The 14,883-nt window shown below is 54.0% G+C and overlaps 3 annotated features.

Annotated features, from left to right (window-relative positions):
* Positions 269 to 328: an enhancer, noted in NCBI's record as "active region_11339". NCBI's record gives its function as "activates an Ori minimal core promoter by ATAC-STARR-seq in GM12878 lymphoblastoid cells {active_cell/tissue: GM12878}" and the evidence as "EXISTENCE:reporter gene assay evidence [ECO:0000049][PMID:35858748]".
* Positions 999 to 1,178: an enhancer, noted in NCBI's record as "active region_11340". NCBI's record gives its function as "activates an Ori minimal core promoter by ATAC-STARR-seq in GM12878 lymphoblastoid cells {active_cell/tissue: GM12878}" and the evidence as "EXISTENCE:reporter gene assay evidence [ECO:0000049][PMID:35858748]".
* Positions 13,880 to 14,873: an enhancer, noted in NCBI's record as "H3K27ac-H3K4me1 hESC enhancer chr16:87856683-87857676 (GRCh37/hg19 assembly coordinates)". NCBI's record gives its function as "activates a minimal SCP1, AML or CMV promoter by ChIP-STARR-seq in naive H9 embryonic stem cells {active_cell/tissue: H9 hESC(naive)}" and the evidence as "EXISTENCE:reporter gene assay evidence [ECO:0000049][PMID:30033119]".

Here is a 14,883-nt window from a genome sequence, read left to right on the forward strand (position 1 = left end):
TGGGGTGCAGTGGCATGATTTTGGATCAACGTTGTCAGCGGGGTCCCCGCAGGAGATCTGAGCACAAGTTCCTTCTGGGAGCAGGGAGGTGCATAGGCACCTGGATCATCATTTCCGCTTCTGGGGTGGCAATTCTCCTAGAACCTGTTCACAGCTGTGGCATTCGTGTCCTGGAACTGCTATCATTAGCTTCCACAAAACAGGTGGCTCTAACAACAGAAACTGAGGGTCCTGCAATCCTGGAGAACTAAAGTCCAAAATCAAGTTGTCAGCAGGGCCTGCTCCCTCCAGAGGCTCTAGAGGAGGCTCCTTCCTTCCTCTTCCGGCTCCTGGTGGCCCCCAGAGTCCCTTGGTGCCTGGCTGCATCGCTCCAATCCCTGCCTTCCCCCTCACACAGTCTCTCCTCTGTGTCTGTGTCCAAATTTCCCCCTTCTTATAAGGACACCTGGCATTGGGTTCAGGGACGGCCCCTCGGTAAGTATGACTCATCTTAGATAATCACATCCGCAAAGACCCTGTTTCCAAACAGAGTCACATTCACAGATACCGGGGTTAGGACTCGAGCATATTGTAGGCTGCAACTCACCCACACAGCTGTAGAGAAGCACAGCCACTCCCAAACCATGGGCAGGGGCAGCAGCGTGCACACTGAGCACTCTTTCGTTTTTTTTTTTCTTTTGAGACAGTCTTGCTCTATTGCCCAGGTTGGAGTGCAGTGGCATGATCTCAGCTCACCACAACCTCCGCCTCCTGGGTTCAAGTGATTCTCCTGCCTCAGCTTCCCAAGTAACTGGGACTGCAGGCACGCACCACTACACCCAGCTAATTTTTGTATTTTTAGTAGAGACGGGGTTTCACTATGTTGGCCAGGCTGATCGCGAACTCCTGACCTCACGATCCACCTGCCTTGGCCTCCCAGTGTGCTGGGATTACAGGCGTGAGCCACTGCGCCCGGCCAGCGCTCTGTTCTTTCTCCAATGGCCCCACTGCAATTCCCTGGACAAGAGAGCCCCTGAAGCAGGCTGTAGGGCTCAGGCCGCGGCACAGAGATGGGCAGAGGGAGCCCAACAGCTGTGAGTGGGAGGGGGCAGCTCTGCCCCACACACCCCTCCCTCAGAAGAGCCAGAAGAGAGAAAATGGTCTCCTCCCACGTGGGGTCTTTGAAGCAGCCCACAGGTGCTGGTGACTCTGGCCGCAGCGTGGTTGCCTGCAGGACTGTCCCCAGGCCCTGGAGACCCACCTTCTCCTCTCAGCCAGCACCCTCGGCTTTGCCCAACCACAGTAAAGCTCCAAATTCCCCAATTCTCTGAGTACTTTGATGCAAAACTGCCAAATGGGGAAGTGATTCTGCTGAGGTAATGAGCACCTGGGGCTGGGACGGAGCAGCATAGAGGGATGGGTGTGATCGGGGGGGCCCCTGCACCCCACTGCAGCCCCAGGTGGACCTTGGGTGGCAGCAGAGCCTCTTCTGCTGCAGGAAGAAGTCAGGTCCTTTCACCTAAAACCTGTCATGAGCTCGGGCGGCTCCAGTGCTGGGCGCCGATTAGAAAACAAGCCAGGGAAGGCCAGGTGCAGTGGCTCACGCTTGTAATCCCAACGCTTTGGGAGGCCGAGGTGGGCAGATCACCTGAAGTCAGGAGTTCGAGACCAGCCTGGCCAACATGGTGAAGCCCCCATCTCTACTAAAAATGCAAAAATTAGCCAGGCATGGTAGCACACGCCTGTAGTCTCAGCTACTCAGAAGACTGAGGCAGGAGAATTGCTTAAGCCCGAGAGGCGGAGGTTGCAGTGAGCAGAGATCACACCATGCACTCCAGCCTGGGCAACAGAGTGAGACTCCAACTCAAAAAAAAAAAAAAAAAAAAAAGAGGGATTGAGACCCTAACGTAAAACCCAAAACTATCAAAACCCTGGAAGACAACCTAGGCAATACCATCCTGGACCCAGGAACGGGCAGAGATTTCATGAAGACGACGCCAAAAGCAATTGCAACAAAGCAAAAATTGACAAGTGGGATCTAATTAAACTTAGATCCTGCTGCAAGTACTTCCTCCCGGGCCCATCTATTCATTTTCCCCATGTTTTCCCAACTCACTCATCACCTGGTCTCTGCTGCCTCTTGCTTCGAAGGCTCCAATCACACAGCGGCAGCTTGTCAATCCGACTCTTACCCTATGGATTCTCAGCCCGGAGCGGAGCAGCCCAGGCGGGCATGTGTGCAGGACTCAGAGAAGAGCTCTGTAGGAGGGTTTTGCACAGCAAAAGAAACTATCAACAGAGTAAACACACAACCTACAGAATAGGAGAAAATATGTGCAAATTATGCATCTGACAAAGGTCTAAAATGCAGCATCTATAAGGAACTTAAACAAATATAGAAGAAGAAAACAACCCCATTTAAAAGTGGGGAAAGTACATGAACAGACACTTTCCCAAAGAAGACATACATGCAGCCAACAAACATAAGAAAAAAAACTCAATATCACTGTTAGAGAAATGCAAATCAAAACCACAATGAGATACCATCTCACACCAGTCAGAATGGCTATTATTGTTATTTTTTTTGAGACTGAGTCTTGCTCTGTTGCCAGGCTGGAGTGCAGTGGTGCAGTCTTGGCTCACTGCAACCTCTGCCTCCTAGGTTCAAACGATTCTGCTGCCTCAGCCTCCCAAGTAGCTGGGACTACAGGCACCTGCCACCACACCCGGCTAATTTTTTGTGTTTTTAGTAGAGACGGGGTTTCACCGTGTTAGCCAGGATGGTCTCGATCTCCTGACCTCATGATCTGCCCGCCTCAGCCTCCTAAAGTGCTGGGATTACAGGTGTGAGCCACCGCACCCGGCCCTAGAGAGTTATTTATAAGTGCACAGTGATAATGAATGTTCAGTCACATCAAACGTTACATTGTCTTTACATCTTCTCATAGGGAACGTTGAAACATTTTGCGATAGCTTGAATTCAAACCATCGCACTCACAGCACCGCTACATGTCTCCAGCCTCACCTGGGGAGTGAGCAAATGCCAGACACCCTCCTACGGAGCTATTCTCTGAACCCTCCACACAGGCCCGGCTGGGCTGCTCCGCTCCGGGCCGAGAGAGTGATTGATAAGCTGCCGCTGTGTGATTGCAGCCTTTGAAGCAAGAGGCAGCAGAGACCAGGTGATGAGTGAGTTGGGAAAACATGGGGAAAATGAACGGATGGGCCCGGGAGGAAGCACTTGCCGCAGGAAGCCACCCCCAGCCCAGGCTGCTGGGGCCTGAGACACTGAACAGAGCTGCTGTTTGCCAAGCATTCTGGTTACACTTTTGTTGTGGGATCTGTTACCTGGGGGCGGTTGCCTGGCTACTGCCAAGACAGGAACATGTGTCCCTTGTGACATCTGGACCTGAGCCATCTCAGTGTGGAAGTCATGGCCAGAGAGGTTTCTGGAACCTGAGACCTTGACTATTACCCTACCCTATCTCTCTTTCTCCTGGCGACCTGGAATCCCAGGTTGCAAAGGGTCTTACAGGTGTCTAACCCAAACCCATGGCCTCTACTAAACTTTGACTCTGCTCTGTGGCCCCCAGCGGCGGCCCCAAGGTCTCCTTCCATCCTCACCCATCCTTGGTTGGTGAACACGAACCCTCTCATAGACCCACAGGGAAAGCCTTGTAGGTCCTGCAGCGGCTGCTCCCAAGACAGTCTTTGGGTTTTCTTGACACTGTTTTCTTCTCCTCCAAAGAGATTCCCCCTTAGACCGGGCATGGTGGCTCACACCTGTAATCCCAGCACTTTGGGAGGCCGAGGCGGTGGATCACTTAAGGTCAGCAGTTTGAGACCAGCCTGGCCAACATGATGAAAACCCTGTCTCTACTAAAAATACAGTAATTAGCTAGGCGTGGTGATGTACGCCTGTAGTCCCAGCTACTTGGGAGGTTGAAGCAGGAGAATTGTTTGAACCTGGGAGGTGGAGGTTGCAGTGAGCCAAGATCATGCCATTGCACTCCAGCCTGGGTGACAGAGCAAGACTCTAAAAATAAAAAATTTAAAAAACCCAAAGATGTTGCCCTTTGTTGGGACCTCCTCAAAGTGTGTGCCTGGGATATGAAGATAAAAATAAGACCCAGAGACTTGGGGTGAAGAACCAGAACCCGGCCACACGTCCATTCCCTCCTTGCGTCAGGGAGGGAGAAGAGCTGGCCACGCTTGGAGTTCCCAAGAGTTCTTCAGGTGCCTTTCCCACCCTCCCACCTTGATATCTTTCCTCCTGGGCTTGCCCTTGGCCCCTGAAATTCTATCATCAAAGCTTTATTGCAGGCCAGGCGCGGTGGCTCACGCCTGTAGTCTCAGGACTTTGGGAGACCAAGGTGGGTGGATCACCTGAGGTCAGGAGTTCGAGACCAGCCTGGCCAACATGGTGAAACCCCATCTCTACTAAAAATACAAAAATTAGCTGGGCATGGTGGCACACGCCTGTAATCCCAGCTACTTGGGAGACTGAGGCAGGAGAATCGTTTGAACCCGGGAGGTGGAGGCTGCAGTGAGCGGAGATCACTCCACTACACTCCAGCCTAGGCAACAAAGCGAGACTCCGTCTCAAAGAAAAAAAAAACCTTTATTGCTTTCGGTCAAAAGACCCAAAACAGGCCAGCTGAGGTGGCTCACGCCTGTAATCCCTGTGCTTTGGGAGGCTAAGGTGGGAGGACCACTTGAGCCCAGGAGTTCAAAGCCTGTAATCCCAGCACTTTGGGAGGCCGAGGCGGGCGGATCACGAGGTCAGGAGATCGAGACCAGCCTGGCCAACATGGCTAAACCCCGTTTCTACTAAAAATACAAAAATTAGCCAGGCATGGTGGTGGGCGCCTGTAATCCCAGCTACCCTGGAGGCTGAGGCAGGAGAATGGTGTGAACCCGGGAGGCGGAGCTTGCAGTGAGCCGAGATTGCGCCACTGCACTCCAGCCTGGGAGACAGCAAGACTCTGTCTCACAAAAAAAAAAAAAAAAAAAAAAAGAACAGAAAAGACTACATGCCTGTGGACATCTCACTGCCTGTCCCCCCGCCCTTTTTTTTGAGATGGAGTTTCTCTCTTATTGCCCAGGTTGGAGTGTAGTGGCACCATCTCGGCTCACTGCAAGCTCCGCCTCCCAGGTTCACACCATTCTCCTGCCTCAGCCTCCAGGGTAGCTGGGATTACAGGCGCCCACCACCATGCCTGGCTAATTTTTGTATTTTTAGTAGAAACGGGGTTTAGCCATGTTGGCCAGGCTGGTCTCGAACTCCTGACCTCAGGTGATCCACCTGCTTCAGCCTCCCAAAGTGTTAAGATTACAGGTGTGAGCCATTGTGCCTGGCTTGTCTCTTCTTTAGGTTTGGTTTTCTGTGACCCCTATTTTTTTTTTTTTTTGAGACGGAGTTTCCCTCTTGTTGCCCAGGATGGAATGCAATGGCGCGATCTTGGCTCACCACAACCTCTGCCTCCCGGGTTCAAGCAATTATCCTGCCTCAGCCTCCCTAGTAGCTGGGATTACAGGCATGTGCCACCATGCCTGGCTAGTTTTGTATTTTTAGTAGTTTTGTATTTAGTAGTTTTGTATTTTTGTATTTTAGTAGAGGGTTTCTCCGTGTTGGTCAGGCTGGTCTTGAACTCCCGACCTCAGGTGATCCGCCCGCCTCAGTCTCCCAAAGTGCTGGGATTAAGGCATGAGCCACCGCGCCCGGTCTTTTTTTTTTTTTTTTTTTTTTTTTTTCAGACAGAGTCTCGCTCTTGTCGCCCAGGCTGGAGTGCAATGGTGCGATCTCCGCTCACTGCAACATCTGCCTCCTGAGTTCAAGCAATTCTCCTGCCTCAGTCTCCTGAGTAACTGGGATTACAGGCATGTGCCACTGCGCCTGGCTAATTTTTTTATTTTCAGTAGAGACAGGGTTTTGCCACATTAGCCAGGCTGGTCTTGAACTCCTGACCTCAGGTGATCCACCCGCCTCAGCCTCCCAAAGTGCTGGGATTACAGGCGTGAGCCACCACGCCCAGCCTGACCCTCTATTTTAATGCAGACTTTTTAAGTGTGATGTACATGCCCTAAGTGTCCACCGTTTGATGAATTTCACAAAGGGGCTATTGCCGTGTACCCAGCACTAAGGATGAGAATCAGAGTGAGGCCCCACACAGAAGTCCCTCGGTTAGAACCCTTTTCCGTCATGTGCCACGCAGAAGAGGCCATCCCCCAAAATGCACACCCACCTGGAACTCCAGAATGTGGCCGTGTTTGGAAGCAGGGTCTTTGCAGATGGAATGAGCTAGGATGAGGTCATGCTCATCTTAGTGTGGTAGGTGGGCCCTAAATTCTACGACTAGGCCCTTTTAAGGGGAGGGAGAGGGAGATACACACATGCAGGGGAGAGGTTGTGTGAAGGCCAAGGCTGAGACCAGAATGGTGCAGCCACCCACCAGGGGAGTGCAAGGACCCTCCCCAAGAGCCCTCAGAGGGAGCACAGCCTTGCTGTCACCTTGACCCCAGACATCTGCCTCCAGAACTGGGACAGTGCATTCCTGTTCTCTCAGCCACCCCGTTTGTCCATTTGTGGTGGATGTAACTGCAGCCAGAGGGCACTCACACTGCCCCATGGCCACATAGCTGCTGGCCAACAGAAGGGAGGAACAGCTGTGGGCTCCCTCTGACCAAAGGCAAGCTGTGGGCTCAGCAGACAGCCGCCGGCAGCCAGCTGAGGACAGCAAGGCTCAGGGTTCGCACCATCTGGGCCACACCCCTCAACGTCCACTCCAGACCTGGACCAAGCCAGGCAGCCAGCAACTCCCACCCTGAGCAGCTCCTGGAAGGGACGGGAGCTGTGACAGCCACAATAATAACATTCATCGGCTGGGTGTAGTGGCTCATGACTGTAATCCCAGCACTTTGGGAGGCCGAGGCGGGCAGATCACCTGAGGTCAGGAGTTCGAGATCAGCCTTGCCAACATGGTGAAACCCCATCTCTACCAAAAATATAACAATTAGTAGGGCATGGTGGCATGCGACTGTAATCCCAGCTAATAGGGAGGCTGAGGGACAAGAATCGCTGGAACCCAGGAGTCAAGGGCTGCAGTGAGCTGAAATTGCACCACTGCACTCCATCCTTGGCGACAGCAAGACTCTGTCTCAAGTAAATAAATAAATAAATACAACATTCTTCGCAGCCCACCATTGTTGGAGGTGTCCTAGGTACCCGGCTTCCTGCTCAAAGCTGCAGGCAAAGTGTTGGGGTCATACAGGACTTGCCCGAGAACAGGAAACCCAAGTCAAACTGTGGAAGCTGTGAGGACATCTGTTGGTTTCTGCAACTGGACGTCTGGAGGGAGTGTGAACTTCCGGTGGCATCTGCTTCTCCCTTCCACTCCTGGGGCTCCAGCATGGTGGGCCTCTCTCAGGATGGGCTGGAGCACCGGCAGCTTCAGGCCTCAGGGGCCTTCGGCAACGTCCAGAGGAAGGAAACTGCCTCTTTCAGGAGCCTGTGGCACTAAGAGGAAGCCTTCTGCAGATGCAGCCAGCAGGCTTCCCCACGGACCCCAGAGGCACAGCTGCTCCTGCCGGGAAGGGGTGTAAGTTCAACCACGGAGCAGCCACAGCCCTGCAGCAGCTGTGGGCTTGAGCTCCCCAGAAGCGCCTGGGATCAGGAAGGTGCGGTGGCTCCTGGAGTGCTGATGGGTGTGTCACAGGCATGTGAACCAGAGCAACTCCATCTTGAATAGAGGCTGTAAAATGAGGCTGAGACCTGCTGGGCTGCATCTCCAGGTGATTAAGACATTCTAAGTCATAGGATGAGATAGAAGGTCGGCACAAGACACAGGTCATAAAGACCTTGCAGATAAGACAGGTTGCAATAAAGAAACCAGCCAAAACCCACCAAAACCAAGATGGTGATGAGAGTGACCTCTGGTCATCCTCACTGGTACACTCCCACCAGCTCCATGACAGTTTACCAATGCCCTGGCAATGCAGGAAGTTACCCTGTATGGTCTAAAAAGGGGAGGCATGAATAATCCACCCCTTGTTTAGCATATCATCAAGAAATAACCATAAAAATGGGCAACCAGCAGCCCTTGGGGCTGCTCTGTCTATGGAGTAGCCATTCTTTATTCCTTTCCTTTCCTTTTTTTTTTCAAGACAGAGTTTCGCTTATGTTGCCCAGGCTGGAGTGCAATGGCGTCATCTAGGCTCGCGGCAACCTCTGCCTCCTGGGTTGGGTATCAGTTTAGACTGTGAAGTCTGGCTGAAGCCAACGGATGCAGGACACAACAGTAAGGATGAGCCAAAAGTGTAAGGAATAAATATGTCTGCGTTTCCTTTGTTCACTGTCCTCTTGGGGCAAGACTGCTGGCGAGTGTACCCTTTCTGCAGAAAGTAAAAATTGCCTTGCTGAGAGAATTAAATATATGTTCAAGTGCTATTTCTTTATGGCACCAGGGAACAAGCATTTAGCATTTCTAACACGGGTTCAAGTGATTCTCCTACCTCAGCCTCCCCAGTAGCTGGGACTATAGGCACCTGCCACCATACCTGGCTAATTTTTGTATTTTTAGTGGAGATGGGGTTTCACCATGCTGGCCAGACTGGTCTCGAACTCCTGACCTCAGGTAATCCACCCGCCTGGGCTTCCCAAAGTGCTGGGATGACAGGCGTGAGCCCCTGTGCCTGGCCCGATTTATTCCTTTACTTTCCTAACAAATTTGCTCTCACTTTGCAGACTTGGCCTGAATTATTTCTTGCGTGAGATTCAAGGACTCTTATTGGGGTCTGGATCAGGAACCCTTTCTGGTAACAGATGTGCCTGGGGGAGAAGGGGCCAGGAGGAAGGTGATGCAGAGGCCACCTCCACTAACCCTCAACAGCGTACACCACCTCTGCCACTCCCACTTCACAGGCGAGAAAACCAAGGCTTAGTGCGGTGGGGCCAAGTGCTCAGCGGACACAGCTGGAGAGCGGCGGGCCAGGATTCCGCATAAAAAAAGCAGCCCTCTCAGATCCTGGGAGGACAAACAGGAGAGCTCATTCCCTATTCTCCAGCTTCCATCTCAAAGTCTCCAGGAACCCCCAGCAACCAAAATATTCTTGTAAGTGAATAAGGAAAAGCAAAGCCAACAGGTGATTCTCGATGCTCCCGTAGGCCCCAGGGAGTGGAGAAGCACCACGCTCCAAGTGCCTGGACAGAGAGGGATCTGCCAACGGGAGCTCGGTCAGAAAGAGGAGGAGGGGGAGCCAGGGCAGGGGGCAAAGAAAGAGAGTTCAGTGAGGGGGCAGCACGTGCCAAGGCCCCAAGGAGTGTCCCGGGCATGGAATGTTCCGGCAACCAAGAGAAGGCCGTGTGGGTTTGAGTGCAGACAAGGGGAAAGCGGCTCAGCACAGCCAGGGAAAGCCAGCCAGAGTGAGGGACAACGGCCCAGGAATGGCTGGGGAGCTGCGGCTCTGTCTGGAAAGCAGTGGGTGGGCGTCACTGGCACCTGCTGCCATCTATGGATTCACCCAAGCCAAGGATGAAGATGGGGAACCAGCAGGCTCAGGACACAACATGGGCCCATCCCTCGTTGACTCCCATTAGCAGACAGCGACCCGTGCATGAGCTGCTCTGGGGGACGGCAGCTTCTGGCTCAGGGGCCAGCCTGCGTGTCTCTGCCATGGCGGGTCATAACCTCATCAGCCTCCTTCCTGAAACCCGAATGCCACACGCCTGCTGAGTTTCTCAGGATCTCACAAATCCTACCCCAGTCCCCAACATCCTGGCCAGCCTGACAGTTACTTCCTGGAGCATCTTCCAGAGTTCCGTCGGGTTTGCTGACCCTGGTTGAGTGATGGCATTTTCTAGCTCTTTCTGTCTGTACCCCAGAATGTAGCTTGTCTAAGCCCAGTGACTTAAGCCCAATCTATTCATTTCACCACTGTCCCCTGGCAGGAGGAATTCCTCTGAAAAGACCCCAGGAGCCTGGCGAGGGGTACGCTGGGGAGGCAGCTGGTGACAAGGCCTGGGCAGAAAGCCTGCTTTTCACTAAGAATTCTTTGAACATTTTGAATTTTGTACTATTTGCAGATACTGCCTATTCAAAAATAAGTAATTAATTGAAACAATGAGATCATTCTCTTTGATACAAAAAGGCAAAACCCTAACCGGAGTCCTGTCGTTCTGCTGTTATCTCATCCCGGGCTGGAATCTGGTCACCCCAAACTCCCCACGCCCCAGCCTCAGCGTCTCCATCTGTAAACCAAGGCCCAGGCCCTCGGACCTTGGTGGGGGGGCTCCACTTTGTGAGTCTGACTTGTCATAGCCTGAAGCTGTGGCCTGGGCCCCTGTCTCCGTCCCACTCGCAGGCTGGTTAAATCCCGGGAGTCAAAACCTCCAGGAGCAGGTTCCGTGGTCTGAGAGTCCAGGACAGCTTGTCACTCAGCAAGACAGCCTGGCGGCGGTGGGGGGGGGGGGGGCGCCAACCAGGGCGACCGAGGACACCAAGGTGGGGCCTGTGGGTGAGGTGCCCCCAGGAGTCTCAGTGGAAGCTCCAGGAAGGTCACAAGAGATCCCTCCTCCCAGGTGGCCCCTAAAGAGGCCAGCACACAGTCCATGGAGGAAGAGGCACAGAATCAATGAATCTGGCTTTCAAGGAGCGAATAAACTTAGGCTTGTTGGTGTCTCAAAGGCATCTGGTACCTGAATTGTTCTTGGGGTTCCTACTGGAGGCGCCAGCCCTTAGAGACTGAGCAGCCAGGGACAACACTCCCGGGCGGCTGGCAGTGCCACCCGTTTCCTGCCAACCCAGGACCCGTGGAGACCAGGATCAGCCTCTAGCATCCCTGGGGCAGCAGGAGAGACCCTTGTCCCTCCTCCACCCACACACTGGGGATCCCCATGCCTCCCTCATAGCTTGTGAGGAGCCAGGGGTCCGGGGTCAAAGTCAGATGCCACGAGCTGGAGAGGAAGCGTCGGCAGACGTCCCCTGGGTGGGGTCCTGGGGTCTGCAGGTCACGTGGAGAAGGCACAGCAAGAACAAGACCTAGGCCAGACGGCAGCGTCAGCGCACGCTCCACAGCGGGCTTCCCGCAGCTCTGCACAGCACGGCGAATTTCCACCTAAGTGTGTCCACGGAGCCTCCACCAGATCAAAGCTGGAGACAGCCCCAGCTTCCCAGACAGCCTGACGACCCTCAAAACTGCATTTAAAAACCACTGTTTCGGTGAGTGGGTGAATCATTCACATGGTTCAAAATTCAAAAGGAACAGAATGATGTCGCCTGGAAATGCGTGTCCTGCCCCATCCCAGGGACTCAGGGTCCTGCACCTGAAACGGCCTTTGCAGAAGTCCTGTCAGTGAGACAATTAGAACACCAACCTAAGCTAACCCAGCCCCCATCCTGCCCTTCCCTTAATTATTCCTGGGCTATTGGGCCAAGCTAACTTTGGAAGACATTTAGGCTACAGTTTAAATGATTGATAATAGGCCTTGCCCCAAACCTGCTTTTGTAAAGCTAATGGGAGGCCCCCAGGCTTCCAGGAGGAGGGAACCAGAGACCTTATAAGGCGCAGACACAAAGGATGGTCGGCCATTATCCCGGAGGTTACAAATATGCAACTTCCCCCATTACTCCTGCAAGTAACACCACCGCTGTAGATGGAAGTATCTTCTGAGAGATCTTTCCAGGTTTTTTGCATGTCTGACGCCCACAGCTCCACTCAGACCCCATGGCTCCACCTGGACCTACAGCCCCGCTCCTGTGGCCCCACCAGAAGCAATTCGGCTGCAGGAGGAAGGCTTCCACCCCTGTGATTTCATCTCCACCCCAACCAATCAGCAGCAAACATCTGTTACCTGGCCACCCCTACCTAAACCCCTAATCTAATCCGGTTGCGGTGACTCACGCCTGTAATCTCAGCACTTTGGGAGGCCGAGGCGGGCGGATCACAAGGTCAAGAGATCAAGACTATCCTGGTCAACAAGGTGAAACCCCATCTCTACTAAAAATACAAAAATTAGCCAGGCGTGGTGGCGGGTGCCTGTAGTCTCAGTAACTCGGGAGGCTGAGGCAGGAGAATCGCTTGAACCTGGGAGGTGGAGGTTGAGGTGAGCCGAGATCGCGCCACCGCACTCCAGCCTGGGTGACACAGTGAGATCCGTCTCAAAAAAAATAAAGAAATAAATAATAAAAAATTGTCACAAGGCTGGCCATGCCACAAGGGAGATGGAATTATTACTCAAATCAACCTCCCTGAAGGCATGGAGGTTAGGGGATTTTCAAAAACTAAATTTCTCCCAAAGCTAGCTTGGCGCACGCCCAGGAATGAAGGAAGCCAGCCAGCCTGCCTGTGAGGTGAGGAGCAAGATGGAGGCAGCCATGTCAGATTTCTCTTCCTGTCATAATTTTGCAAAGGCGGTTTCAGGACAGGGCAGGAAGTTGTCTGTAACCAGCAGGTGCTCGACAATGAAAAAAGGAGAGTAAGGCCACGCACAGCATCTCCACATCTAAAGTCCCGAGGAGGGGTGTCCTGCAGCGGGGGCAGAGGGAGAGACCACCAGGGGCCCTAGAAGGGGCAGTGCCTCGTGCAGCTCAGCAAGGAATCCATCTTCATCTCCACAGCGTGGAACTCAGCCAGTCCCGGAAAGCCCTCCCGTGTGTTCTGGAAACAGCTCACTGCAAACAGCCCCCTTCGCACAGGACTGAGATGAGACTCGCGGCTGCCGGGTCCGCCTAGGAGAAGGCCAGATCACGGCCTCATCAGCGATTCCCTGAGCTGTTTTGTTCCCACAGAAGCAGCAGAACAAAATGCTTGTTTAAAAAAACAACAAAAAAAGCTTGTTCAGCTTCTCTGCCTCCCCCAAACCCTGAACTGGGAGACCCCCCCCAGCCTAGTTCCCCCTGGGTCAGCCTGTAACCCCACCTTAGCCCCTGAGACTGGGCTGGCCAGGGGGAACCTGCTGTATCTGCTGCCCCTCAGGCCCCCTCACGCCACTCCCCCACCGATTCTTTCCAGCCCTGCTCCCTCTCTCCGTCAAAGAAAACCCCTTTCCCTGGCTCTGGAGGCCTTGTAGGCCTTGTAAGTTGGAGTGGTACGTACCCCTACTGTGAGGCGCTCCCCCAAGCCCTGCAATAATCCTTTTGGAATAAAGTTCCCCTTACTAAATCCGGATTTGTTTTTTATTTGACAATTTCTTCTCTGTGGAATTCTCGGCTCAACTCAAGGGACGGAGCCGAGCTTAGAAATAAAACAGGAGCAGCGTCAACAGAAGATGTCAGGAGTGGGGGCCTCGTTTCTGCGTGGTGAATTCTGAGACCAGAGCACACCGTCCCAAGAGGGCAGTGGACGCTGGGGAAAGTGTCACGGCCGCTGAAGGAGAGGGAGGGGGCCAGTGGAGGATCCAGGCTCCTTCTGGCCCCTGGCTGCCTAAAGATGAAGCGTCGCCCTGGCAGCGTTTGAAACACGGTCATTAAGGAGTGAAATCGGCGCGGTGAGTTGTGCAGGAGAACGTGGCGAAACCTCCCTGGAGACGAAGAGCCCCAGAGCGTGCAACCTCTCCGGGGGAGTCTGGGTCCAAGCCCACCGTGTCCTCACCCAGACCTGCCCACGCCTCTCTCCCAGCTGTCAGGAGTTGTCAAGGGGATTAAGCGGATTCTCTTTGCCGTTCATGGGAACGGCAGCGGGATTAGCTGGGGCCTCCTACCGAGGAGGGGGTGGGCTCGGGTTAGCACAGACGACACTCAGAGAGCTTGGAGGGGCGGTGACCAAAGAGGTAGGTCACAGCCAGATACCAAGGCCTTGACTTTGGGGTCTCATTTTACGGGTAAGAACCCTCCCTTGGCTGGGGGTGAGGCTAGGGCCACACACCCATTCCCCAGCCAGCCTTTGCAGAGGTCAATGAGAAAGAGGCAAATTCTGGAACCTTTCCTCACCCTCTTTGACCCAGAGAGGATTTAATCTGGAATGAAGCTGGTTGAGACTAGTTTTGTGAGCGATCTGTCCACCTGGGGTGCCGGTGTGTTTTACAAGGCTGGCTTTCATGGCGCAGTTGAGTTCCCACTTGCAGAACATACTCACCCTGTGGCTATAAGGCAAAGCGCTGGGGCTTGTAGGCACTGGACCCCAAGCAGTGAACAGGTCAGTGCAGGGCCTGTTTGGTGTGGCTGCACAAGCGCGAGAAACAGGAATGCAGGCGTTTCTGGCTGGAGGGAGAAGGTTGGATGAGTGTAACAGCACCTTCGGGGTGAGGGTTTGCATTTCCGCTGGAGACGAGGCCAGGTGTCTTGCACTCAGGTTAGGCTGTGAGGAATTGAGGCCAGGCCCAGAAGGAGGGTGGGATGGAAGGGAGGGGCCGTCATGTGGATGGTGGGCCAGGTGTCCAGGCCCGCCAGGTGCCCAGGTTGGAGAACCCGGATTCTCCATGTGTGCGGGTCCTCCAGGTGCCCACGTCCTCCAGGTGCCCGGGCCGTCCGGGTGCACAGGTTTGTGAGATGCTCCCACTGTGTGCTTCCTACCGTTTTGCATCCAATGCACATGGATGCACTCCCACCTCTCGGCTCCCCTGGATCACCCCAGGCAGGTGAAGGAATGTTTTGGAGCCCTGTTTTCTCCTCCCTGAGACAGGGTGGCACCCGGCCTCCTCCTCTGGCTGCTGCAGGCTCAGTTCACTTTCCCACGCTGGACCCCTTCAGGCCAAGCCTCGGGGAGCACAGAACCATGGGACAGCGGGGATCCAGGACCCCCAGAAATCCGGCTGGAGGAGCTTCAGGGTGACCCCTCCTCCCCTGTCCCTCAGAGCAGATGCTCCTAGAATGCTCCTTCTTAGAGCAAGTGAATTAGCATTCCCACCAAGGCTGCCCAGAATGGGGTAGGGGCAGGGTGTGTGGGGACCAGCATGGGCACCGAGCCTTC

The sequence above is a fragment of the Homo sapiens genome, chromosome 16 (assembly GCF_000001405.40).
Source record: "Homo sapiens chromosome 16, GRCh38.p14 Primary Assembly".
NCBI lineage: Eukaryota > Metazoa > Chordata > Mammalia > Primates > Hominidae > Homo > Homo sapiens.